Here is a 25,556-nt window from a genome sequence, read left to right on the forward strand (position 1 = left end):
TGAGACAGAAAATTAACAAGGATATTCAGGACTTGAACTCAGCTTTGGGTCAAGTGGGCCTAATAGACATCTACGGAACTCTCCACCCCAAATCAACAGCATATACATTTTTCTCAGTGCCACATGACACTTATTCTAAAATCGACCATGTAATTGGAAGTAAAACACTCCTCAGCAAATGTAAAAGAACTGAAATAATAACAAACAGTCTCTCAAACCACAGTGCAATCAACTCAGAACTCAGGATTAAGAAACTCACTCGAAACCACACAATTACATAAAAATTGAACAGCCTGCTCCTCAATGACTCCTGGGTAAATAATGAAATTAAGGCAGAAATCAAGTTCTTTGAAACCAATGAGAACAAAGACACAATGTAGCAGAATCTCTGGGACACAGCTAAAGCAGTGTTAAGAGGGAAATTTATAGCACTAAATACCCACATCAGAAAGCTAGAAAGATCTCAAATCAACACCCTAAGATCACAATTAAAACAGCTACAGAGGCAAGAGCAAACTAATCCAAAAGGTAGCAGAAGACAAGAAATTACAAAGATCAGAGCAGAATTGAAGGAGATAGAGACATGAAAAACCAGGAGCTGATTTGTTGAAAAAACTTAACAAAATAGACCATTAGCTAGAGTAATAAAGAAGAAAAGAGAGAAGAATCAAATAGACACAATAAAAAATGAAAAAGGAGATATCACCACTGACTGAAAGAAATACAAACTACCATCGGAGAATGTTACAAACACCTCTATAACAAACTAGAAAATCTAGAAGAAATGGATAAATTCCTGGACACATACACCCTCCCAAGACTAAACCAGGAAGAAGTCAAATCCCTGAATAGACCAGTAACAAGTTCTGAAATTGAGGCAGTAATTAATAGCCTACCAACCAAAAAAAGCCCAGGGACTGATGGATTCACAGCCAAATTCCACTAGAGGTACAAAGAGGAGCTGGTATTATTCATTCTGAAACTATTCCAAACAATTGAAAATGAAGGACTCCTCCATAACTCATTTTATGAAGCCAACATCATCCTGATACAAAAAAGGGGCAGAGACACAACAACCACAAAAAACTTCAGGCCAATATCCCTGATGAACATCGATGCGAAAATCCTCACTAAAATACTGGCAAACAGAATCCAGCAGCACATCAAAATCTTATCCATCATGATCAAGTTGACGTCATCCCTGGGATGCAAGGCCGGTTCAACATATGCAAATCAACAAACGTAATCCATCACATAAACAGAACCAAAGACAAAAGCCACATGACTATCTCAATAGATGCAGAAAAGGCCTTTGATAAAATTCAATATCCCTTCATGCTAAAAACTCTCAATAAACTAGGTATTGATGGAACATATCTCAAAATAATAAGAGCTATTTATGACAAACCCACAGCCAATATCATATTGAATGGGCAAAAGCTGGAAGCATTCCCTTTGAAAAATGGTACAAGACAAGAATGCTCTGTCTTACCACTCCTATTCAACATAGTATTGGAAGTTCTGGGCCAGGTCTATCAGGCAAGAGAAAGAAATAAAGGGTATTCAGATAGGAAGAGAGAAAGTCAAATTGTCTCTGTTTGCAGGTGACATGATTTTATATTTAGAAAACCCCATCTTCTCAGCCCCAAAACTCCTTAAGCTGATAAGCAACTTCAGCAAAGTCTCAGGATACAAAATCGATGTGCAAAAATCACAAGCATTCCTTTACACCAGCAATAGACAAACAGAGAGCCAAATCATGAATGAACTCCCATTCACAATCGCTACAAAGAGAATAAAATGTCTAAGAATACAGCTAATAAGAGATGTGAAAGAACTACAAACCACTGCTGAAGGAAATAAGAGAGGACACAAGCAAATGGAAAAACATTTCATCCTCACAGATAGGAAGAATCAATATCATGAAAATGGCCATAGTGCCCTAAGTAATTTATAGATTAAATGCTATTCCCATCAAACTATCATTGACATTTTTCACAGAATTAGAAAAAAACTACTTTAAATTTCATATGGAATCAAAGAAGACCTTGTATAGCCTAGACAATCCTAGGCAAAAATAACAAAACTGGAGGCATCTGACCTCGAACGATACTACAAGGCTACAGTAACCAAAACAGCATGATACTGGTACCAAAACAGACATATAGACGAATGGAACAGAACATAGACCTCAGAAATAACACCACACATCTACAACCATCTGATCTTCAACAAACCTACAAAAACAAGCAATGAGGAAAGGATCTTCTATTCAATAAATGGTTCTGGGAAAACTGGCTAGCCATATGCAGAAAGCTGAAACTAGACCCCTTCCTTACACCTTATACAAAAATTAACTGAGGATGGATTAAAGACTTAAATGTAAAACCCCAAACCATAAAAACCCTAGAAGAAAACCTAGGCAATACCACCAGGACATAGGCATGGGCAAAGACTTCATGATGAAAATGCCAAAAGGAATTGCAACAAAAGCCAAAATGGACAAATGGAATCTAATTAAAATAAAGAGCTTCTTCACAGCAAAAGAAACTATCATCAGCGTGAACAGGCAACCTACAGAACAGGAGAACATTTTTGCAATGTACTCATTTGACAAATGTCTTATATCCAGAATTTGCAAGGAACTTAAATTTACAAGAAGAAAACAACTCCATCAAAAAGTGGGCAAAGGATATGAACAGACACTTCTCAAAAGAAGATATTTATGCAGACAACAAACATTAAAAAATCCCCAACATCATTGATCATTAGAGAAATTCAAATCAAAACCACAATGAGATACCATCTCATGCCAGTCAGCATGGTGATTATTAAGAAGTCAAGAAACAATAGATGCTGGTGAGGCTGTGGAGAAATAGGAATGCTTTTACACTTTGGTGGGAATGTAAATTAGTTCAACCATTGTGGAAGACGGTATGGGGATTCCTCAAGGATCTCGAATCAGAAATACCATTTGACCCAGCAATCCCATTACTGGGTATATACTCAGAGGAATATAAATCATCCTACTATAAAGACACATGCACATGTATGTTTATTGCAGCACTGTTTATAATAGCAAAGTCATGGATGCCCAAATGCCCATCAATGATAGACTGGATAAAGAAAATGTGGTACATATTCACTATAGAATACTACACAGACATAAAAAGGAATGAGATCATGTCCTTTGCAGGGACATGGGTGAAGTTGGAAGCCATCATCCTCAGCAAACTAACAGAGGAACAGAAAACCAAACACTGCATGTTCTCGCTCATAAGTGGGAGTTGAGCAATGAGAACACATGGACACAGGGAGGGGAACATCACACACCAGGGCCTGAGGGTGTTGTGGGGTGGGGGCAGTGGGGAGGGAACTTAGAGGATGAGTCAATAGGTGCAGCAAACCACCACGGCACACGTATACCTATGTAACAAATCTGCACGTTCTGCACATGGATCCTGGAACTTAAAATAAAAAAAAAATAAATACAATAAAAAGTTTTCTTTATTCTTTTCACAAAGCAAAAAATGTTATAGAAGCCTCAATGTCTGAGTCTCTTGCTTGTCATATTGGTCTTGAAGAGACTCTCAATATACTGCCCAATTGCTTTTTTCAATATTAGTGGTTCCAGCACCTTAATTAGGAATTTTGCTTATAGATTTCATGATTCTTAGAAAAGGAACATGTTTTCCAGTTGAGAGGAAATGTGTCTTACAGCTGGTAGCTCAGCTGTACTAGGGAAGGTATTGTTATCTTGCCCAAAGCAAACTTCTAGGGCCATCTTTGTACCTTGGGGATGGGATAGCCAATGACTGGAAGCCAAGAAAGCAGAGGCAGGAGGAGCTACATTCAGCTTTTTCCAACCCTGGAAATCGGTCAACCCAGCCCAAGCATATTGTTGGTGTTTTATTAAAAGGGTTGATTTGGGGAATGTTGTGTTTGCCATGCAATGTCATGCCTCAAAGCCTTGGTTTCCAGCCTTTATTTATATGCTTAATTGTTGCTATGGAAATTCAATATTTAAAGAGGTAATTATTGCTGATCTTGTTGCATGTGTCCATTTCTGATGTCCAGCTGTTAGCTCTTTAGCTCCAGTCTAGCAGATTAATTACTGCTATTGATTACTTTGAGCTTCTCTCTTCACACCTGCAGTCTGTGTAATTAGCTGGTGGCCTCCTCTGAAAATTAGGAGCAGTTTCATTCTGGCACTTTGCCATTTCCCAGCCATGTGCACTGCACTGATGAACAAAAGCAAATCTATTTTAAATAGAGATATCTGGGTAATGAACTCTTTGTGTTTTTGAACTATCCGTGGATAATTCAAATTACCCTCTGTTAGCAAATATTGTACCTCATTTGATGACTATCTGCAAAGAAAAAAATTCCAAAACACTAGTTTTTATTCCCATTTCCACCTTGCAGAAATTTGCTCCTGTGTGTGGTTTAAAAAAATCAAAACAACTTTCTAATTCTGCTGCTGAGGGTATTGGGGTACTGAAATAGGCTTCCTAATGGAGCCCAGTGGAAGCAGCTGAGTTTGCACTCTGAGTATTGCAAACATCCAGGTATTAATGTGCATCCCTTCATTAGATTCACACTCCTAGTTTGAGAGACAAATCGCCATTCTTGGGAGTCACTGATATGCATTGGGAATAAAAAAGTTTCCTATTAAAAATGATTGAGTCAGAGACATGAGAGAGATATTTGATATTCTTCCCAACTTTGTTCCAGTTAATAAGATTTTTTTTTCCTCCCTGCTCACTGGAAACTGAATCTGGAAATGCCAAACATTCAAATCTAGAGTTCTGTGTCTGATGTCCTGTTTCGATACTTCCTCATCTGTCATGTGTTACTGCCTAAACACTCAGGAAATACAAGTTGGTGGTAGAATTGGGAGTGGACTTCCCAAGTAATGGTATGCAATGATTACTAACATGGCCAGCTGTTCCTTTCCATGCTGACAGGGTCCCACTAATGTTCCCTTTAGCTATTTAACTTGTGTTGAGTTATTATCCTAAGGGTTATTGCTTATTGTAGGAAAAAATAAAGTGTTTTCTTCCTGCCCATGGCATGCATCTGCCAGCTTTCATTTGAAGCTTTAAGTGAGTAAGTACGTCCCAAAGCCCACTCAGCGCATGGAAGGAAAAAAGTTCAGAAAGTTACCACTTGTCAGAATGATAAAAGTATCATTCCACTACCACAAGCACAAATGTGTTTAGTTGGATCACAGCAAACTGGGAATGTTCCATCAGCTCCAAGACAGCCTCTACGGAAGCAAAGAAAGATGACCTTCTGAGGTTCCAAGCAATCAGGTGGGCGATGGTATGCAGCAGAAAAGAGTAGAGAGATAAGGGGCACTCACTCGTCAACTCAATGAAGCTTTGGGGCATCTAATCGGGAGGCTGAACACCGGCCCTCAGACCAGAAGGTCCCCAGCTGGAATCTCATCATTTCCACCGCTTCCAGATTAAAATTTAAATTGTGTGCTGCCATTTGGAGGCCTTCTGGGCAGGGTCTCACAGAGTCACCAGTTATTAGGAATGCCTCCTATTATCACAACCCTAAAAGCTATTTGAACAGCAGCCTAATGTGATTGTGATTTCCAAGGACCATTTGCTGTTATTGCAGCTCTGCTCGGATGTGAGTGGGAGCGACTAACCAAAGTTGCCTTCTCATAGTACCAGAGAGGAGAATCAGAGGCACCAGAGAAAGATTTAACTGGCCATAAATGTAAATTCATCCCCAATAAACAATCTTTTGTTCCCCCCATTTAGGCAAGGTCATCTCTCATTCTGGCAAATAGCAATACTCTTTCCCGTACAAGAGTGTAAACTTTAGAAATTCATATTAATTATAATTTCAACTCCACTGGAAATATGAAAATTATGAAAACATAGTTTTAAAGAGGTACTATAGTAAAATACGAAGGGATAGTTTTACATAATATTCCATACTTATGGGTGATAGACAGGGATTTAAACATGTATGTAGTTTCTCTTTGAAGCCAATGCAAAAATTAAACACACTAACCTTATGAATATCTGAGGCTACGCACAGTATATGTGGTATAATGTTAGACATGCCACAGATCTCTGATGTATGGAGTTACTTCAGTCATTGGTTTTTCACCACCAGCAGAAGAAAAATGCAAAATATCTAGTTTAGTTTTTTAAACCTGATGTTTAAAACCAGCTAAGTATTTTTTTTTTTTTTGAGACGGGGTCTCACTCTGTTGCCTGGGGCGGAGTGCACTGGCGCGATCTCGGCTCACTGCAACCTCCGCCTCCTGGTTTCAAGCAATTCTCCTGCCTCAGCCTCCCGAGTAGCTGGGATTACAGGCTTGCACCACCACACCTGGCTAATTTTGTTTTTGTTTTTGTTTTTTGAGATGGAGTTTTGCTCTTGTTGCTCAGGCTGGAGTGCAATGGTGTGATCTTGGTTCACCACAACCTCTGCCTCCCGGGTTCAAGTGATTCTCCTGCCTCAGCCCCCCAAGTAGCTGGGATTACAGGCGCCGACCACTACTCCCAGCTAATATTTTGTATTTTTAGTGGAGACGTTGTTTCACCATGTTGGCCAGGCTGGTCTCCAACTCCTGACCTCATGATTCGCCCACCTCGGCCTCCCAACGTGCTGGGATTACAGATGTGAGCCACTGCGCCTGGCCAAAACCAGCCAAGTTTTTAAAAACATGATGAAGAATACGTGTGTGCATGTGTGTGTGTGTTCAAAGTTACTGGGAGTATATAACCTGTACTCCATTATACCACCATAGGCTGTAATAAAAAGTTACCTGAAATTACAATTGAGAAATTATCTAGTGAATAATAAAAATAGTGCAGCAGATAGGTATGCAGTACATATTATGTGCCAGGTATTGTGCTAAGTGCTTTGAATAAATCACCTATTTTAATCCTTGCAGCAAATTATCTGGATTTTACAGAGGAAGGAGGACATTGAAGATTAGAGGTTGCATAGCCTGACCATGTTTACATCTAGTAAGTGACTTTTTTTTTCTTCTAAGCCAGACTTTTATCTACTTCTGTTCATTTTATTCCAGTTTTGTAGCCTTGATGATGTTTTGTAGAGCCTTGATTCATTTATGTGAATTCTTTAATATTTTAATGAAATATCCATTCATAGATGTGGTGTCTTTGGGCCTAACTAATATTATATAAGGCTTAGTCTAAAACGTAGTTTTTGCCTTAATTTATTTTTACTTATTGCAAGAAGTTGCATAAGAAGTTCCAAGGTCCTGTTATCTTGTCTATGAGGAAAGAGCCCATTTAACCAAATGGGGAGAGAGCAGAACTGGGCACCTGTGCTACTGTTGCTTGACCAGGGTCAGGAAGAACACTCAGTGACTGTCATCGGTTCTCCCGTGCAGAAGCCTTTTTGCTGGAAGAATGCAGATTATTATTGATTCCATTACTGGAAATGTAGGGAAATCTTCCCCCACAACCTTGCTGCTGTTTCTTTCTTGGTGCATACAATTATTTTTGTTTCACTTGGATGCTTGAAAAATTTATTCCAAGAAAACAACCAAATAATGTCTCTTTTTATTTATGTGTAACACATATGTATGATATGTTTCACTTTTCTACATATATATGGAAAAACAAAAATAGATATCATTATATATAAGTATATATAAAATATATTTACTATATATATAAAGTAAATATAAAATATATTTACTTTATATATATAAAGTAAATATATAAAATATATTTACTTTATATATATAAAGTAAATATATAAAATATATTTACTTTATATATAAAGTATATATAAAAATATAAAATATATAATATAAAATATATATCTGTGTGCATTGCTGTTCCATACACCATGGACACACAAGTGCATGCACAACACACATACACACAATTGCAGTTCCATGCAGTGTTTCTAAGATGTTTTCTGGCAAGGGCCTTTGAAAGAATAAAGGGCATAGCCTTCTCAGTGTCAGTACATGTGTAAATATCTTCAGGTTCTATGAAAACATCTTCAGTTTTTCAATAATAGATTGTTTGGAGGGCAGTTTTATGATCTATAGTACACATTAGATAGCCTTCAAGGAATTCTTCTGCAAAAACAGAGGAAGTCAGAATTTTTTGATCTTATTTTTTCCCTTTCTATGTCTAAAAATGTCCCATCTCCAGAATCAACTCTTGCCCTAATGAGCTGAAACTACATTAGCAAAGTCTTAGGCAGATAAATGGACTCAAACCTTGGTTTGATGATCCTACTTAAGACATTCAATTAATTCTGTTTTGCTACAAGCTAATTTATGACTTTGTATTTATTCAAAAAATGTTGAACATACAAAGCAGTGGGAGACAAAGTAATGAATTATTCTACCTTCCTTCATGTGCTCTCCTGTGTTCACTACAGTAAGGGAGGAAGAGAAACAGGAAAGAAATGCTTTTGATGTAAGATATGTGGGTATTTTCTTGTCATACGAGGCAGCCTTTCTCTGATAAAAACACATATACAAGCCCTCTAGGAGATGCTAATTAATACATTAAATGTTACTTTATTAATTGCTGTTACAATTTTCTTTATTTACCCTGTAAATAGTTTTTTCTCCTTCCTTTCTTACTTTCTTGATTCCTTCATTTTTTCCTTCCTTCCTTCCTCCCTCCCTACCTTCCTTCCTTTTTCCCTCTTTCTGTCCCTCCCTGTTTCCTTCTTCCCTCCCTCCCTGCCTCCCTCTCTGTCTTTGTTCCTTTTCTTTGTGATAAGATTTAGTTTAACGTGGTCATAGAACTTGCTTGCTTTATGGTGGATCATGAGTGGCAGCTTGATAAAACTGTGATACATTAACAGATATTATGATCCACTTTTCTGTGGCAAAGCTTAATAATTGATCTGTATAATTTGAGAGAGAAGAAAAATCTGAGAGCTTTAAAGTAATTTACAGCCCCATGCCACACTCGGTGTGTTTTTAATGAGCTTCTCTAGATCTACAGGTAGTGAAAGTTTTCTCTGCTGATGTGCAGGGCAACTTGTCAAGACATCCTGCAGGGAAGTGTGTTCAAAGAAGGTCAGCCAGGGAATGGAACTGCATGAGGTGATGCTGTGGTATATAATTGACTTCCTGTTTCTCTGGAAAGTGATAGAAGGTGAGGTTGAGAAGAAGCTGCCCCTTCTCAATTCCCTCTCCCTCTTTCTCAGTTTATTAAAACTGCTTTTCTTATCTCCCCTTCTACTATTTATCTTTCCTCTTTGCATTCTGCAGCCTAAAACTCTAATCGCAACCCATGTTGCTTTTGTTGCTGAATTAAGAATATTAAATATTTCTTATAAATGACCCCATATTTCCAGACTGCTTTGTTTTAGAAGGCTTATATTTTTCATCTATTTTTCTGAGGGCAAGCAAAAATCATGTTCCTCTCCCCAGCATGACAGGCAACGTTATTGTGTGAGATGAGTTAGTCTTGCTATGTTGCAAAAGAGAGTCATATTCTTCGGGACTCTTTGCTGTGATATTTTTTGCTGTGTCCAGTCCTGTACTCTGGAGGACTAACTATCTCCACCTATCTTGACAGACTCCTCCTCACCCTCTAATCAATGACCATGCACAAAATATACATTTGTCAAAGTCATTTGCCAAAGACTTTCTGCTTATACCAATATTTCTGCTTATACCAGTTGGAAAAATAAGTGCTTAAAATGAACATATTTCAGTCAATTTAAAATAAACTTCATCTTCATGGTATGAAAGAAAGTAATTGTAGAGTACCTTTCTTTTGTTGCATTTAAAAAATGTAGTTCTAAGTATCTATTATGTTAGACAGCATTCTGTGAACCACTTGCTTTCTTCTCTCCAGAGAATTTCAGAGAGTGAACTTGGATAGAATCAGTCATATGTCAATTGCCAGCAGGGTGATATAGGACCTTGACAATGCTGGTAAAAAGTACAGGCAAGTGAGGATAGTATATGCACAAGGATAGCCAAGGAACTGATCCCCACCCCCCTTTATTCTTTGGTGTATGGAGAAGGCTTCCAACATTCTCTTGCCTGGCTGTGTTTATAGAGGGGCTGTGTGGTGTTCTTGCTGGTCTGGCTTTCTCTTGCATTTTCTTGTTAGGACTTCTGGAAAAGAGAGCTTTCCTCGGTTGTTCAGAGGAGGGCAGAAACCCAACATTCTTTCAGAGCTGTCCAAGGTGAAAGGGGTGTGGAAGAACAAGAACATCGGTGCTCAGCATGAATCTGCCCCATGTCACATTGGAGCTCGCCATGGGAACTGAGTCTCCTATCATATCCTGGTTTTCCAGTTGACAAAACATGGAGTGAATGAGGGGTGCTTCTGATGAGGTCTTAGAAGTCATCAAGACATCAAGGAAGATGTGTCTCAGGTTTTGGCTCAACATTTCTGATTATCTGGATGTTTAAAACATTGAATGTTTGAAAGATTATTTTATAAAGAAAATGGTGACAAAGGAAAAGAAAACATTTTTTTCCCCCAGAGATTCCCTAAGGGATGTGCACGTAGATCTTCTACTCCAGGCTGGATTGCTCTGTGGTCAGTAGAGATAGCATGAGATGGAACAGCAGATGCACCGTGTCCAGGTACTAGGAGGAGCTAGGACACTGGCATCATTTATCTGTACAGCTCACTTCCTGATTTTACCCTTCCGTAATCACACTGAACAACTAGGTACTCACATTTAAGTGCCGTCTTAGGAATTGGCCAAATTAAAAAGATACAAATTTCCCATCTAGGAACCAAGACATTAAATTGCTAATACCAGATGAGGCAAACTTCCATGGGCTTCTATATTGGGTAAGTTTTTATGGATCCCTGACTGGCATTCTTTGGCACAGTTGCATTTCATGTGAATCAAGCTGTGATGACTATGCTACTCTCCAAGGGTATTCAAACTGCTGTTCCTTGCGTAGCTCTCTCAGGCCCCAGTTTTTGGACCCTCTATTTTGGAGACACTGTTTTGCCTGTTGAGTTGAATCATCAAGATGGACTTTTCTGACTTTCTAGATTCACCTTATATGCTGTTTGATCTTTATTACTTGCAATATGAAGCCATACTTTATTTTACCATTTAAAATGTAGCCATAGGAATAGATCATATTTTAGTCCTGATGTTAATCTAGACTTCTCCATAGAGGCAGTATTTTTTCTTCATGGGAACTCCTGCAAATTTTCACAGTTATATTTTTATGCATGATTTTAAAACCCAAAACTTTGAGTTAATGGCTATTCCAGTTATTTCTAGTAAGGAAGATAATGACTATAATTATAAATTATAGGCTGAAAAAAAGTTCATTTTAAGGTGAAACCTTGGGTATTACCTGAGTTCTAAAGTGACCTATTTAAGACTTGGTCTTCAAACTGATGTGTCTAAATTTAATATTATAGTAAACTAGCTATTCTAAAACATGGCCAGGGAATGGATATTTGAGTTAAACAAACTTGGCTCTGGAAAGGGCCATGTAGCATGAATGGTATAATTTTGTGTAGAAGAAAATAATATATACTTCATTCTAAATGTATGTTAAAAATAATTTAAACCTTCTTTAGTTTATAAAACCTTCCTGGAATTTTGCAATGCTTAAGAGTTATTAGGCACAATAATTACTATATTGAATTATAGGGAATGTATGTGGAATGTATATTGAAAGACTTGAGTATTTCTCTATTTAAATAGTTGGGTATTTGTACAAGGCAGTGATGTATAGTGAGAGTCTTCCTTTTTTCCTTCCTTCCTTCCTTCCTTCTTTCCTCCCTTCCTCCCTTCCTTCCTCCCTCCTTCTCTTCCTCTCTCCCTGTCTTCCTCCCTCTATCCCTCTCCTCTCATACCCTATCCCACTTTTCTCTCCCCTCCCCTCCCCTTCTCTCTTCTCTTCTCTTCTCTTCTCTTCTCTTCTCTTCTCTTCTCTTCTCTTCTCTTCTCTTCTCTTCTCTCCTCCATTCCTTTCAGAAATATCAACCAAATGCCCTCTCTGAGCCAAGCATTATGTTGTGGAGATACACAACTAAGACATGTAAGTCAATTACTATCTGCTTTGTCTCTTAAACCTAGAACATAAAAAGTAATTCTTTATTCCTTTTTTTTTTTTTTTTTTTTGCTCTGCTTACACAGCTGTCAGAATGCTTGTTGACTCTACCTCCAAAATATATAACCCGGATCTGCTACACCAATCAACTGCCATACCTACCCACCTTAGGGCCATGCCATCATCACTTTCACCTCATCTATTACAGTTGTCACCTAGCTGGTCTCCTGGCATAGACGGTTACCTTCCTTATCATTTATCTTCTAGTAGCCAAAGTGCTGTTTAAAAATATAAATCCTATCGTGTCGTCTCTCCGCTTTTTGTAACCATCCAGTAACTTCCAATGCTTTGTATTTGATGATGAGTTCTTAATTCTTTCCTTTGTCCTTACATGGCGTGACCCCTTCTACCTCCCTAGTCCCTTGCTGGTAACTCCCTCTCTTGCATACTGCTCTCCAGTGATACTCATGCACTCTTTGATCTTCAGAAAGCTTGTGCCTGCCTCAGAGTCCTTGCCCTTGATTTTTCCTCTGCCCAGAGTGATCTTTTCCTCATTGCTATGGCAGGTTTCATTTCTTCATTCATGCCTTAGCTCAGATGCTAGCTTTCTAGAGAGAACTTCCATCACCTGGCTCCAGTCTTCATCACTCTCTATCACGTTGCCTTACTTTATTATTCTCATGACACTACTGCTAACCAAAATTACTTTATTAATTTATCTGTTTGCACAGTTTTTATTTACGTTTCCCACTAGAATGTAATCTCTATGACAGCTGGTCATTTTCTGTTTTGTTTGTGACTGCATCCTTATTCATGACTGTATCCCCAATGCTGAGGCCAGAGTTTAGCATATTCCAGCGGCTAGTTTCTTACTTTTCTTTCATAAATCTTATGAAGGCTGATGGCTTCTATTTAAAAAACTTATATTAGTCCTTTTACAAAATTTAAGTCTAATATAACAAGGATGTATCAGTCTGCTTGGGCTGCCATAACAAAATGTCACAGACTGGGAGGCTAGAAGTTCAAGATCAAGGTGCTGTCAGGGTTGGTTTTTCATGAGGCATCTCTTTCTGGCTTGTAGATAATTGCCTTCTCCCTTTTTTCTTCTCTGTGCACACTCAGGGGGACAGAGAGAGAGAGGGAGAGGGGTGGATCTATCTGATATCTCTTTCTCTTCTAACAAGAACAATAATCCTATTGAATTGGGGCCCCTTCCTTATGACCTTATTTAACCTCAATTTCCTCCTAAAGGCCCTATCTCCAAACACAGTCACATTGGGGGTTAGGACTTCAAAATATAAATTGGGAGATGAGGACACAGTTCGGTGCATAACAAAGGATGAGGAGAAAAGTCCTTTTATTTTGGTTGTCTAAACTATAATGAATTTGTGCAATCTACACAGGAACAATCTGAGAATTTGGCATCTATATTTTGGCCAAAGTATTGCTTGACTTGTAGTTAGTATATCTCAGTGTATGTTATGTCACAAATTGTATATTTTAATGGGATATTTTAGTGAGCTTCTCCTTGATATGCACAGTGGGGCATAAACATGCTGATAATTTAAATTGTGATTTTTTTTTTCAGAAGGGTTTGGCTAGGTAGCATGCTTAATTGTATGGAGCTCTTCTTCTCAGGAGTTTGCCTTCCAAAACTCCTTGAAGCTTCATGCTTTCAATGAGCATTAATATTATGATGTGCAAAAATTTACCATGGGCCAAGCTTAATTCCATAAAAGCCAGATAGAAGGCTTCAAAAAAAGATAGAAAACAAATTATGAAAAAACTCTTTTTCTTGTCTTCTCTCTTTCTTCTCACCATGTTTTCTCTTTCTCCTCATGCTTTCTTCTTTAGAAGGAAATCTTGGGTGAGATATGATTTCCTTAATTCACTTTATTGCCTATTTCCCTAGGCATGAATATTTAGGAGATACCTAAGGATGGTTTCTAGGCAGTGACAGAAATGGAAATTATTTACCCTGGGAACTCTGCATGTATCCTTGTTAACTCATTTGCATACTGTTAAATGAATAACATATTGGTGGGACCAGAAGACTTGGAAGCTCTCCATCATCCACACTCCATTTTTATACTCTGTTTTTAGAGTGACAATCTTGTTTGTTTACCTAAGTTGCAAGATACCCCATATCTTATACAAATGGGAAAATTAATCGGGCAGATTCATGCATGAATTAAGTTGTTGCCTTGTTTTGTATTTTCAGGAATCTCAGGTGAAATAAATGGGCTTGCAGCAATAATGAGGAGTTTTCAGTCGCTGAAATTTAAATTTCTTATTGAATGATTCAGTTTTCAGTGGCTACATCATTCAATAATAAATTTAAAACATTACATAAATATGGTGTGATTATTATGTGCACACGATAAAACCCAGTACATTTTTAGAATAAGTCAAATTCAGATAAAATTGGAGGGGGATTGCTTAACCACTGAGAAGCTGCTAGAGCATTTGATTGTAGATTGGAAATTTTGAAAACCTTCACATAGACTGTGATAAACTGGCTGCTCTGCTGTAAATGAGATAATATGGGGCAACCACTTGATGTTACTTTCAAATCTAACCTAAGAAGCTATACAAATATTGGGGTGTATAGAGGAATTATCATATGCATATCTCCGAGGCATATAAAACTAAATTTGGTACTGAAAGTGATTTGGCTGGGATGTGGTGAAAATGTTCACCAGGTTTAAATTTTTTTAGGAACCTAAAGAAAGAGAAACCTCATGTTTTATGAGATCTAATCCATTTATTTGGGGGTGGATTTAAATGAATGAGCATCTTATTTAACTGGGCAATCCTGTGTATTCCAGCTGCAGATGAAGAGATTGCTTCGCTTCAAACCTCCTGACTGCCATGGAACCATCTGGCACATACACGTGTGTGGGTAGGTGAGACTCCAGCTAACACTAATTTACCACTTCATACCACATCTGGGTACAGAGGCAGAATTAAAACTCATCTTGAGTCCTTTCCAGCCACCTTAAAGCTCATTCTTTTCTACTTTTTAACTTATAGGAAGCTATCTATTCTTAGATAAAATAGTTGGAATAGAAAAAAATAGCAATTACAGTTGACGACATCTAAACTGGGCAAGATTTTATTTCATTTCATTCACACTTATTGCTTTTAATCAAGGGGAAAAAGGTTTGCATGTTTTTCCCCTACATGCTACTTTGAGCAATATTCATATGTTATGTGAAATGATTATGCTAAATGTATGTGAGAACTTGAGTCTTGGTGTGGATATATATTGAGTCTATGGGACCCAAAAGAGAACAACAGGATGAAGGTAGCAAAGTCAAGGGATTGTGAAAAAATGAAGAACTAGTAAGCAATGGGCAAGTGGGGACTTGAATGAGAAATTGGGTGGTTTGAACAGATTGTGTATATGTTTTCCTCTCTGAGACCCATAAGATTCCTTATATATTGCATGGGGAAAAATAATCTTTGCCTTCTTTTTAACCTCTTAACAATGTACTTTCATCATTGCTGTACATTCTTTTAAGCTTAGCTCAGAAAAGAAGGGGTAATATAATACAGGAGCTCAACTGAAAACTGGCTTTAGATCTCTCCCTAGCCAGGTAAGACACAAAGGAGGTCATTAGTAACACATGTTTTCTTGTTAAACTGGATGTATTACTACAGTTGAAAAGAGTGGTATAATGCCTAGCACATCATTTTCCCTCTTTTTTTTATAAATCATTCCACAAAGAGAAACAGCATCTTTAAGAACCAGACTGTCTGGACATGTGTCTTATGGTGTAAAATGCAGACAAGCATGGCCTAGGGGCTTCTTCTGTCTGGTTGCTCTTCACTGGAGTGCTGGTAGTGCCTGATTCAATTAGTAATCAGAGATGTAGTCATTGCTATTTTGTGACTTTAAGAGACTTGATTGTGAATTATATTCACAGATTGCAAATTTATTTCTAAATATGGCCCTTTGTATTTGAGGACCTCAAGAATCTTACAGTCTGTGATAAAATCTAGTTTCCTCCATATAATAATACATCAGACATCATTGTATTCATCAAGATTTTGGTCAATAGATCCAGGCAAAATCCATGTGTGTGAGTAATTAATTTGCCAAGATTTTGTTTGTGAGAATAATTTTGTTAGCTATCCTCCTCCTGCCCTACCCCAGCTGAGATATCTAATGACTAACACATATAATTCCAAAATGGGAACATCTCAGGTTTTAATGTCTGAAGCTAATTAGTCCACAAAAGTTGAGCCTGCCTTACTGATGATACTGTGTTGTATCTGATGGGGCAACCAAAAAGATAAGACATATTATTAGTCCTGAAGGAATTTTCAGTGTTTGGGAGGTCAAGCTGTATACAGATTTTAAAAATAACTAATTTTGAAAGTTTTGTTACTAAAGTGCCAAGTACATGGTACCTATTAAGTAGTTTTTCTATGAAGGCTTTTTTCTTCACTGCAGAGTTTAGAATGAACTTATCTTAAGGTGGATTTAAGTGTTTTTACCATGCAGTTTGAGAGCCGTTCTATCTATGAACTCGTATATAAACCATTCTGTCTATAAACCAGACAACTATGGAAGGTTATTAAAAGCAAATACCATATTTTAGATGGACACTGTGCTGAAAGTTAAAGAGTTATTAAAGACACCGTGATAAAAGTGGATATTTAAGTCTTCCTGTCTAAAAAGACCCAAGTAACAAACATTTAGGCATTTCCACACTCATGGCATCATTGGCATATGGTCTCATCAAGTGATTTATATTCATAAACACATCAGAAGTTGGAGAAAAGCTGGCAATTTAACCCTTTTTTAAAGTCACTGATTTTGTTCTATCCCGTAAGAGAACTTTGCCCATCAGAAAAACAGTTAAGACAGGTTTTGCCTATTTCTCTCCTCCCAGAAAATTTAGTACATAATTCCCATGCTTAAAAAAATGCATCAAAGAAAGAAACACCAGCTTGCTGACACCCTCATAATGGAGTATGGCCAATGCAATTGTTGATCTCTTACAGCTTTTTGAAGCAGTTAAGCTCTGAATAGGTCCACCCTTCTGTTATTTAGCCAGCAATCTGCTCCCTTCCAATGAATGAAATAAAAGCTGAGAGGCAGGATTTCATTTCTGTTCGAATTAGAAACCTGTCTCTTTAGGACCTGAGTCCTTTCCTTCTCCATTAAATCTTCTACTACCAAGGAGAGAGAGCGAGAGAGAAAAAAAAAGATTTTGGATATGCAGCATAATGATCATTCCATCAGCTAGTAACTTCACTTTGTGAGGGTTTTTTTTTCTTTAATTGAGTACTAGGAGAGCCAAAATGTGAATGCTATAAGCAAATCCATTATTCTTAGTACTGCTACCTATAATTAACACCGCCCAATGGAATTTAAAAAATATTTATAAAAAAGGCAACAGAGTAACAATTACCATTATCCCCAACTAAACTCCTCCTCCTCTATGTTTTTATCAAGAGAGTGGTGTTGTTACTTCAACAGGCACAGTGTTGTGGTGACTTTTGTGATACAAATAAAGCAAGACTAAAATTTTAATTGTGAAATTTAAAAGGAAAGTAATTGCTTAGTGTTGGCTAATTCCATCTTTGTGCGATGACAGCAGCTGCGTTTCCCTGCCTTGTGTATTTTAACAGATGGCATTATTTCTTATGGAGTGTTACAGTAGCGACCGAGGTGACACTGAAGGAAAATTCTGTGACAGTATGTTAAGTAAGATATTACTGACAGCCCTGCTGAGCGGCGATGCAGAACTGCATGTCGTGGATCTATTCTCACCTCTTCAGCCCCCACCAAATGGTCTCCATTTGTGGCATGTGGATGCAGAATGGAAAGATGAATGGAAAATCATGTTCTTTTTTTCAAATTCACTTGTTTGCATTCCATTAATAGGGCTGGGATGGAGGCTCAAATCTGGCATAAAAGATGCATTTATCAATCATGTATCATACTGTTGTACCTTTCTACCAGAGATAGGAAAATGGAGAGGAACCAATAGGCCCACGTTCTAGGCCAAGATCTGCCACAAGTCACTTTTCTCTAGGATTTGTTTCCTTTGCATAAAATGGTGGGATTGGACTATGGCAACACAGTCCCTAGGGCCCTTTTCAGCTCCAACTTTCTGTGATGCTGAAAGTCCTGTGCTTTGTATTTTAATGGCACAGAAGACAAAGCAAAATGCAGGATGGGAACTAGATTTTGCACATAGAGAAAAGATCAGTGGGTCATAGGTCAGGATCTCTGGTCATGGTTCAGCCACGAAACAAGTCCCTGAGCCCCTTAGTGTCAGCGTCTCCACTTCCTTCCCAAGGCTGCAGTCAAGAGCTAATGGGATGCTGCTGCTGAAACATTGCACAGCTGACCTGTGCTAGACACTGTGCCAAGGACTGGGGATTCAAGGGTGGGTAAAGTGGGGTTCTCATTTTGGAGGAGTCTATCTGATGAAGGAGACAGATATGTACATGGATAATTATAGTAAGTGTAGTAGAGGCTTTGATGGGCACAAATACAGGGTGATAGAAAAAAATATGTGGGAGTTGCAGCTCACCTGGTAGGGGCCATAGAAAGCTTCCAGAAAGAAATAGGTTCTAATTTAAGGCAAAGCATAGGTAGAGGCAGGAAGAACACATGACATAACCAGAAGATTCTTGAGTCAGGGTTCAGAAATCATTATGGTTTGCTTTTCCTTCTCCACTGGTCTTAAAAGTAGGAGCCTACCAGCATCTTGGGTCTTGAAGATCAAGGAGTGCTGTTATTTAAATATTCTGCCTCGTTTCTGAAACAAATGGGTTTGAATGTCTGAGAAATGATATTTAAGGAAATACCACCTGTGACTCTCAGACTCTAAATGTGAACTTGGAACATCCTCTCCAGATCTTTCTCTTCACAAATGCTTGTGTGAGGCCCCAAGAGTAGTACAGTGTGCCTTGAAGGCAGGTAGGATGGAGCTACTTTGATTGGTAGATGGAGAAATGATGGTGGCTTTATATAATATGAAGTTTTGCCTTTTTAAAACAACCTTTTCTAAGAGAAGAGCTACCAACCTTCTGCTCAGTGACAAATAAACCTACTCATATCCTCTCCCTATAGGCTGCCCCTCCTCCATACTAAAGTTTGACATTCTACAGTTTAATTAAGATCACCCTCTAAGCAGCACACCAGGAAGAGAATGATGGATTTTCTTCCTGCAATATGATAGGAAGGGCAATTCACCAAGTCTGCCACTGTCTGTGCCACTTTCTGTGGAGCTACTTGAAGACGTAAGAGTGACATCCTTGGTGAGAATGTGGTCAAGTGGGTGATGATATGATTTGGACGTTTGTCCCTTCTAAACTTCATGTTGAAATGTGATCCCAGTGTTGGAGGTGGGGCCTGGTGGGAGGTGTTTGGATCATGGAGATGAATCTCTCATGAATGTCTTGGTGCTGTCCTTGCAGTAATGAGTGAGTTCTTACTCTATTAGTTCATGTGAGATCTGGCTGTTTAAAAGAGCCTGGCACCTCCTCCTCTCCTTCTTGCTCCCTGTCTTGCCATGTGACACTCCTGCTCCCCCTTTGCCTTCCACCATGATTGTAAACTTCCTGAGGTCTCACCAGAGGCTGAGCAGATGTTGGTGCCATGCTTGTACAGACTGCAGAACTATAAGCCAAATCAACCTCTTTTCTTCAGAAATTACCCAGATTTTTTGCGGGGGAGTAAAAACTCACTGTGGGATAATTCTACACCAACTCACTATACCACATAACTACTAATGATGAGGTGAAATCAAAAGGAGCACCATGACTGCACAATAGCATCTCTAGAAGACATGACTGTGGTGGATGCAAGTGGATGTGGTGGATGTAAAGTGGCTCTCGTCAAGAGCTGATGTGTATTTCCCTGTTCTGTGAATCTAAGCTGCCCCTGTAACTGATTTTAATCAGTAGATCATGGAACAAGAGTTGTTGCAAAATATCTGAGGCTGGGCTTTGAGGGACTTGCAGTTCCCTTTTAGACTATTTCTTCTTGGAAGCAAGTGGCTTCAGAGCTACTACTGTTCCCTACGGTAGCTTTCTGGTCTTTCTGAGGCCATAATGCTGCAAGTAATCTCAAGCTAGTTACTTGGAGAGAAAGAAAGGCATATAGAGGTGCACTGGGGCACTAGACATGTGAGTGAGGACTTCTTGGACTTTTAGCATAATACATTCACCAACTGAATGTAACCAAGGGAATGATATCAGTCAACATTACCTGGAGTAGAAGAACCACCCAGCTGAGCCCTGTTTAAAATATTGACCCATAAAATTATGAGCGAATAAAATGTTTGCTGGTTAAGTCATTAAATTTTGTGGTAATTTCTATGACGATATGAAGGTGAAAGGACTAAGCCACATGGTTCTAGAAAAGAGGTTTTCAATAGTTCTGTTGATATTTGACCATCAATACCATAACTACCCAAAGGTATGATGGACTTTACATGACACAGACTTCATTACTTCTATGATCACTTCAGAATTTTTAGCAAAAATTAACTGTTGTAATGAAAAAGAGAAAAAAGTCACTGTATCAAGACTTACTATAAAGCTATCGTAATCATGGCAGTGTGGTATGGGGGTAAGAATAGAGAAATAGATCAATGGAACAGAATAGAATACCCAGAAATAGATCCACATAAGTTTAATCAACTGTTCTTTAGCAAAATGCAAAGATAATATAATGGAAAAAGATAGTCTTTTCAACAAATGGTGCTGGAACAACTGAATATCCATATGCCAAAAAAAAAAAAAAAAAAAGAGAAAGAATCTAGACACATCTTTCACAAAAATTAACTCAAAATGGATCATAGACCTAAATATAAAACACAAAACCATAAAACTTCTACAAGAAAATATAGGAAAAATCCTAGATGACCTTAGGCATGATGATGACATCAGATAAAACATCAAAGCATGATCCATAAAAACATAATTGATAAGCTGGGCTTATTAAAATTAAAAATTTCTGCTGTGCAAAAGACAGTATCAAGAGAATGAGAAGACAAGCTACGATTGGGATTAAATATTTGCAAGACATATCAGAAAAACAAATGTAATGCAAAATATACAAAGAACCGTAAAAATTCAACAAGAAAACAAGCAATCTGGCTGAAAATATGGGCCAAATTAACAGACACTTCACCAAAGAAGACATACAAATGGCAAATAAGAATACGAAAAGATGCTCCATATCATATATCATTAGAGAAATGCGAATTAAAATACAGTGGCATACTACTACACATCTATTAGAATGGCCCAAATCTGGAACACTGACAACAGCAGATGCTCATCAGAATATGTAGCAAAAGGAACTCTTGTTCATTGCTGGTGGGAATGCAAAATGGCATGTCCACTTTGCAAGAAAATTTGGCAGTTTCTTACAAAGCTAAACATACTCTTACCCTATGATCCAGCAATTACACTCCTTGGTATTTACCCAAAGGAACTGAAAACTTATGTTCACCCAAAAATATGCATGCAGATATTTATGGCAGCTTTATTCATGATTGCCAAAACTTAAAAGCAACCAAGATATCCTTCAGTAGGCAAATGGATAAATAAACTGTGGAACATCCAGAAAATGAAATATTAATTAGTGCTAAGAGAAATGACTGAGCAAGCCATGAAAAGACAGGGATGAAACTTAAATGCATTTGCTAAGTGAAAGAAGCCAGTCTGAAAGGGCTACATCCTGTATGATCCCAACTACATGACATTTCTTTAAAGGCAAAATTATGAAGATAGTAAAAAAGATCAGTGGTTGCCAGGGGTTGGGTGGTAGAGAAGAGGAATGAATAAGTGGAGCATAGAGGATTTTTAAGACAGTGAAAATACTCTGTATGGTACTATAACTGTAGACACATATCACTAAATATTTTTCTAAACCCAGAGAATGCACAACACCAAGAGTGAACCTTAATGTGACCTATGGACTTTGTATGAAATGTGTCAATGTAGGTTCATCAGTTGCCACAGACATGCCCTCTGGTGGGGATGCTGATTATTGGGGAGGCAATGCATGTGTAGGAGTTGTGGGTATATAGGGAATCTCTATACCACCCTCTCAATTTTGCTGTGAACCTAAAGGCACCCTAAAAAATAAACTGTTAAAAACAACAAACAACAACAACAACAAAAGTAAACATTATAGTAAAAACTATAGTCCTGATATTAAGAAGCTATATGACAAAGTGGAAAAAATAATGAATATTAGTGTAGTCTTTAGGGTTTACTCAGCACATTTCATTTAATTCTTCTGACAGTTCTCTGAGGTAGACCTTATTTCCGTTTCATAGATGGGGAAACTGATTCTCAAGGGCCACATAGACTCTATATTCAAAGCCATGTATTCTTCTTTTATTTGTTGCTTCCTAAGTAAGTTTGAAATCAGTCAAGGCAAGTCTTGAAATATCTCCCTATTAGTAATTTAACAGTTGTTGAACATGGAGTGGCAGGAACTAGGCAAATCTCTCTCAGTGCTTCACTGAAGCATATCCCCTAATCTATGCTATTGTAATCTGACCAGTTGCTTGAACGAGAAATGGCACAGGTAAAATTGAATCCTTGAATCAAACTAAGTAAATTCAAAACTACTGCCAGTATCTAGCTTGTCTGAAATTTGTGTTCCAAATAATTGGCTCAAAAATTCGCAACAGAGGTTTATGATGGAATTAGTTCTTTAAAAAGAAGCCAGTCATAATCAACAAAATCATCCTCTGAATTTGGAAGAAATTATGATTTCTTAACTAAGGCTTCTTAGTTACTTTTCATGTTAGAGAAAAACATATCTTTTTTGGATCATGCTCAATAATGTGGCATGTACAATTCTACTTTATTTTTATTATTATGATCAATTTCAGATCAAAATATCTTCCCTATCCTAAACCTTGGGATGAACAATTTCTAAGTACGTCGCTTGTAGTGTGACCTAGATAATGTGATGACAGCCCTTTGGAATGATGTCAAGACTGCTCCATGCATGTGCCCTTTATGAGCAGGCATTGCAAAATGACAGATTGAATTACACACAGAGTTTTTCTTAGTTTGCTATATACCCAAACATCTCCCAAACCCACTTCAAAACATGGATCAATCTGAGATGCTTCCTGCTTAATTATACAATTTGACCAACTGGGAAAGGCAGTAATCTTAGATCAAATCTCTGAATGAAGGAGACAAGGCAATAGTACTTGAGAAGTCAAGTAAGTCGAGCCATCATGTGCAGTAGATATGAAGACAGCACTCAATGGCCATTATAAATACGGCATGCAATTCAGTCTTCCCTGTGTGCAGCATACAAGAGGTGTTGACTTGTGATTATCAAACATTTTAATGGCATATCCATAAAGAGCACTGTGGAACTTCTTCACTCTAGCGATGCCACTATTTCTACACAGTTTGGTTCTGAAAACTGTCATTTTAATCAAAGTTAACATTAATAGATTTTAATGATAAACATGTAATGCCTATATTCAAATGTATTTATCTGGCTTCTTATTGTTTGGACATGTAACATACATTCATGATTTTAAAAATATATTTTCTGTTGAAAGCAGTGTTATATTAGCATTTGTAAATAAATTTTTATGTCTGCCCAAGAATTTCTTTAGTGGAAATTTCTAGAATTAGAATGGCTGGGTGAAAGTGTTAGGCATTTGAAATGCATTGTCATAAAGAGTATATATTTAAAGTGCCTGATATTATTTAGGATAGTCATTATCTTCCATATTGGTTAAATTTGCCCAGTAAAGAAAATAATCCAGATTACCATCAATATTTAAGGGCAGAGTTATGGCCCAGACACTAATGTAAAAGACAGCTGACCTCCTTGAACTAACATTAGAAATGAAAATAAGACCTCTAGGATATTTCTTAAATCTTAGAGAGATCAGGATTAAGCATCATGCAGTGCTTCGTGAGGGAAACAAACCTGGGTCAGTGTTGGAACAAGTCTCTGACAATATTAAGGCACCAATAAATATTTAACTTTAATGCTCATCTCAGTGCCAAATATTGCACCTGGAGGTAATATCTGACTGGATTTGGACCAAAAGGATAAATGAATGAGCACTGGCTATGAACATTTGATTTACTTAAATAGTTCTTTTGGGTGGCTCTTCCAAATTCATTCTATCCTGTAATTCTTGATTTTGAATTTTCAATCATTTTCTGTTTTCACCCTTCCACTTAGCATGTCTCATGGATTCCATTCCACCTCCTCATGCTCAGTGCTTTTTATCTTGCTTCCTTCTGCCTCTTTCCCTTCCTTTGCACGCCACACTAATGCTTTGCTTGAACACTAGTGATCCTTAAAACATATCGATGGCATATTACTTTTACCTTCTATTTTGTCTCTTTGTAAATATCCAAAAGGATGCTGACCTAAAATGAAATTCAGTTACTAAAACCATTAAAAAGAAAATGAAATAATGGTTTTATATTTGGATTATTATCAAATTCTTCCTGCTTTCTGCTTCTCCTCTGTCTCTTCCAAAGTGAAGAGGGAAAGGAGTAAAGACATTGATCTTAATAGAAACACAGCTCCAAGAAGACATGTTTTTATGTGATCACTCACATACTATTAAATTCTCATCTCATTGGATGACTCACATTTAAAAAGTAGCTTTATTGCTTTAAAACAGAGACATGCTCATTATTTTAAAAATTCAAACTATTAGAGAAGTATAAAGGTTAACGTAATAATAATCACATAGAATTTTTTCACCAAGAAATAACCACTGTTAATACACTGGTGAAAACTCTTCTAGATACCTCTTCATGCATGCACACATGCACACAGGTGCCTACACACCCAATGTTGTATAATTGGGATCACAATATTCAAACTGTCATACATGTATATATACACACACATACATACTTATAAATAATAATGTGTATATATTTATACAGATTTTGAATATTCATTCATGACAAAATATTTTACATGATCATTTTAACAGCTGCACAGCATTGCCTTGTTTATTTCACAATTTACTTAACATTCAAGAGAAAGAATATTTATTTTTTATATTTTCTTCCTCTCTCTCTGCCCTCCCTCTCTCCTTCACTCACTTTCTTCTCCCTTTCTTTTCTCCTTCTCTCTTCATTCCTGCGAGGAACCTACCGAAATGATCTCTAGAATGGGCATATTAATTGAAATTCTCGTCAATAAATCACGTGTCTGATTTTCTGTTCCCTTTTTAATACAGATTTTGATATTATTCACCTTTGCCAATCTACTGGTATAGATATGGTTGCTTTTATTTGCATTTCTTTGATTATAAGAAAGAACATCTTTTTGTGATTGCTGACTATTTTAAAGTTTTTCCTTTGGGTAATTGCCTGCTCTTGTCCTATTACATGTTTAAAAATCCCATATAATTTGTTTGAACTCTTTAAATATTAAGGCTAATAATCCTTTGTCATATGTTTTACAAATGTCATTTCCCAGTATGCATTTTTATTTTAAAAATTTGTTGACTATGCTTTATTTTCCTCTTATAAT

The 25,556-nt window shown here is 37.4% G+C and overlaps 1 long non-coding RNA gene across 1 annotated transcript in view; it reads left to right on the forward strand.

Annotated features, from left to right (window-relative positions):
* The window catches only part of MIR548A1HG (MIR548A1 host gene), a 200,152-nt gene that overhangs the window by 136,270 nt on the left and 38,326 nt on the right, over window positions 1-25,556 (forward strand). Inside the window, exons 5-6 of the long non-coding RNA NR_149116.1 lie at window positions 6,926-7,001; window positions 14,854-14,927. This is a non-coding gene — a long non-coding RNA (MIR548A1 host gene). The remainder of the gene's footprint in view (window positions 1-6,925; window positions 7,002-14,853; window positions 14,928-25,556) is intronic.

This window comes from Homo sapiens, chromosome 6 (assembly GCF_000001405.40).
Source record: "Homo sapiens chromosome 6, GRCh38.p14 Primary Assembly".
NCBI lineage: Eukaryota > Metazoa > Chordata > Mammalia > Primates > Hominidae > Homo > Homo sapiens.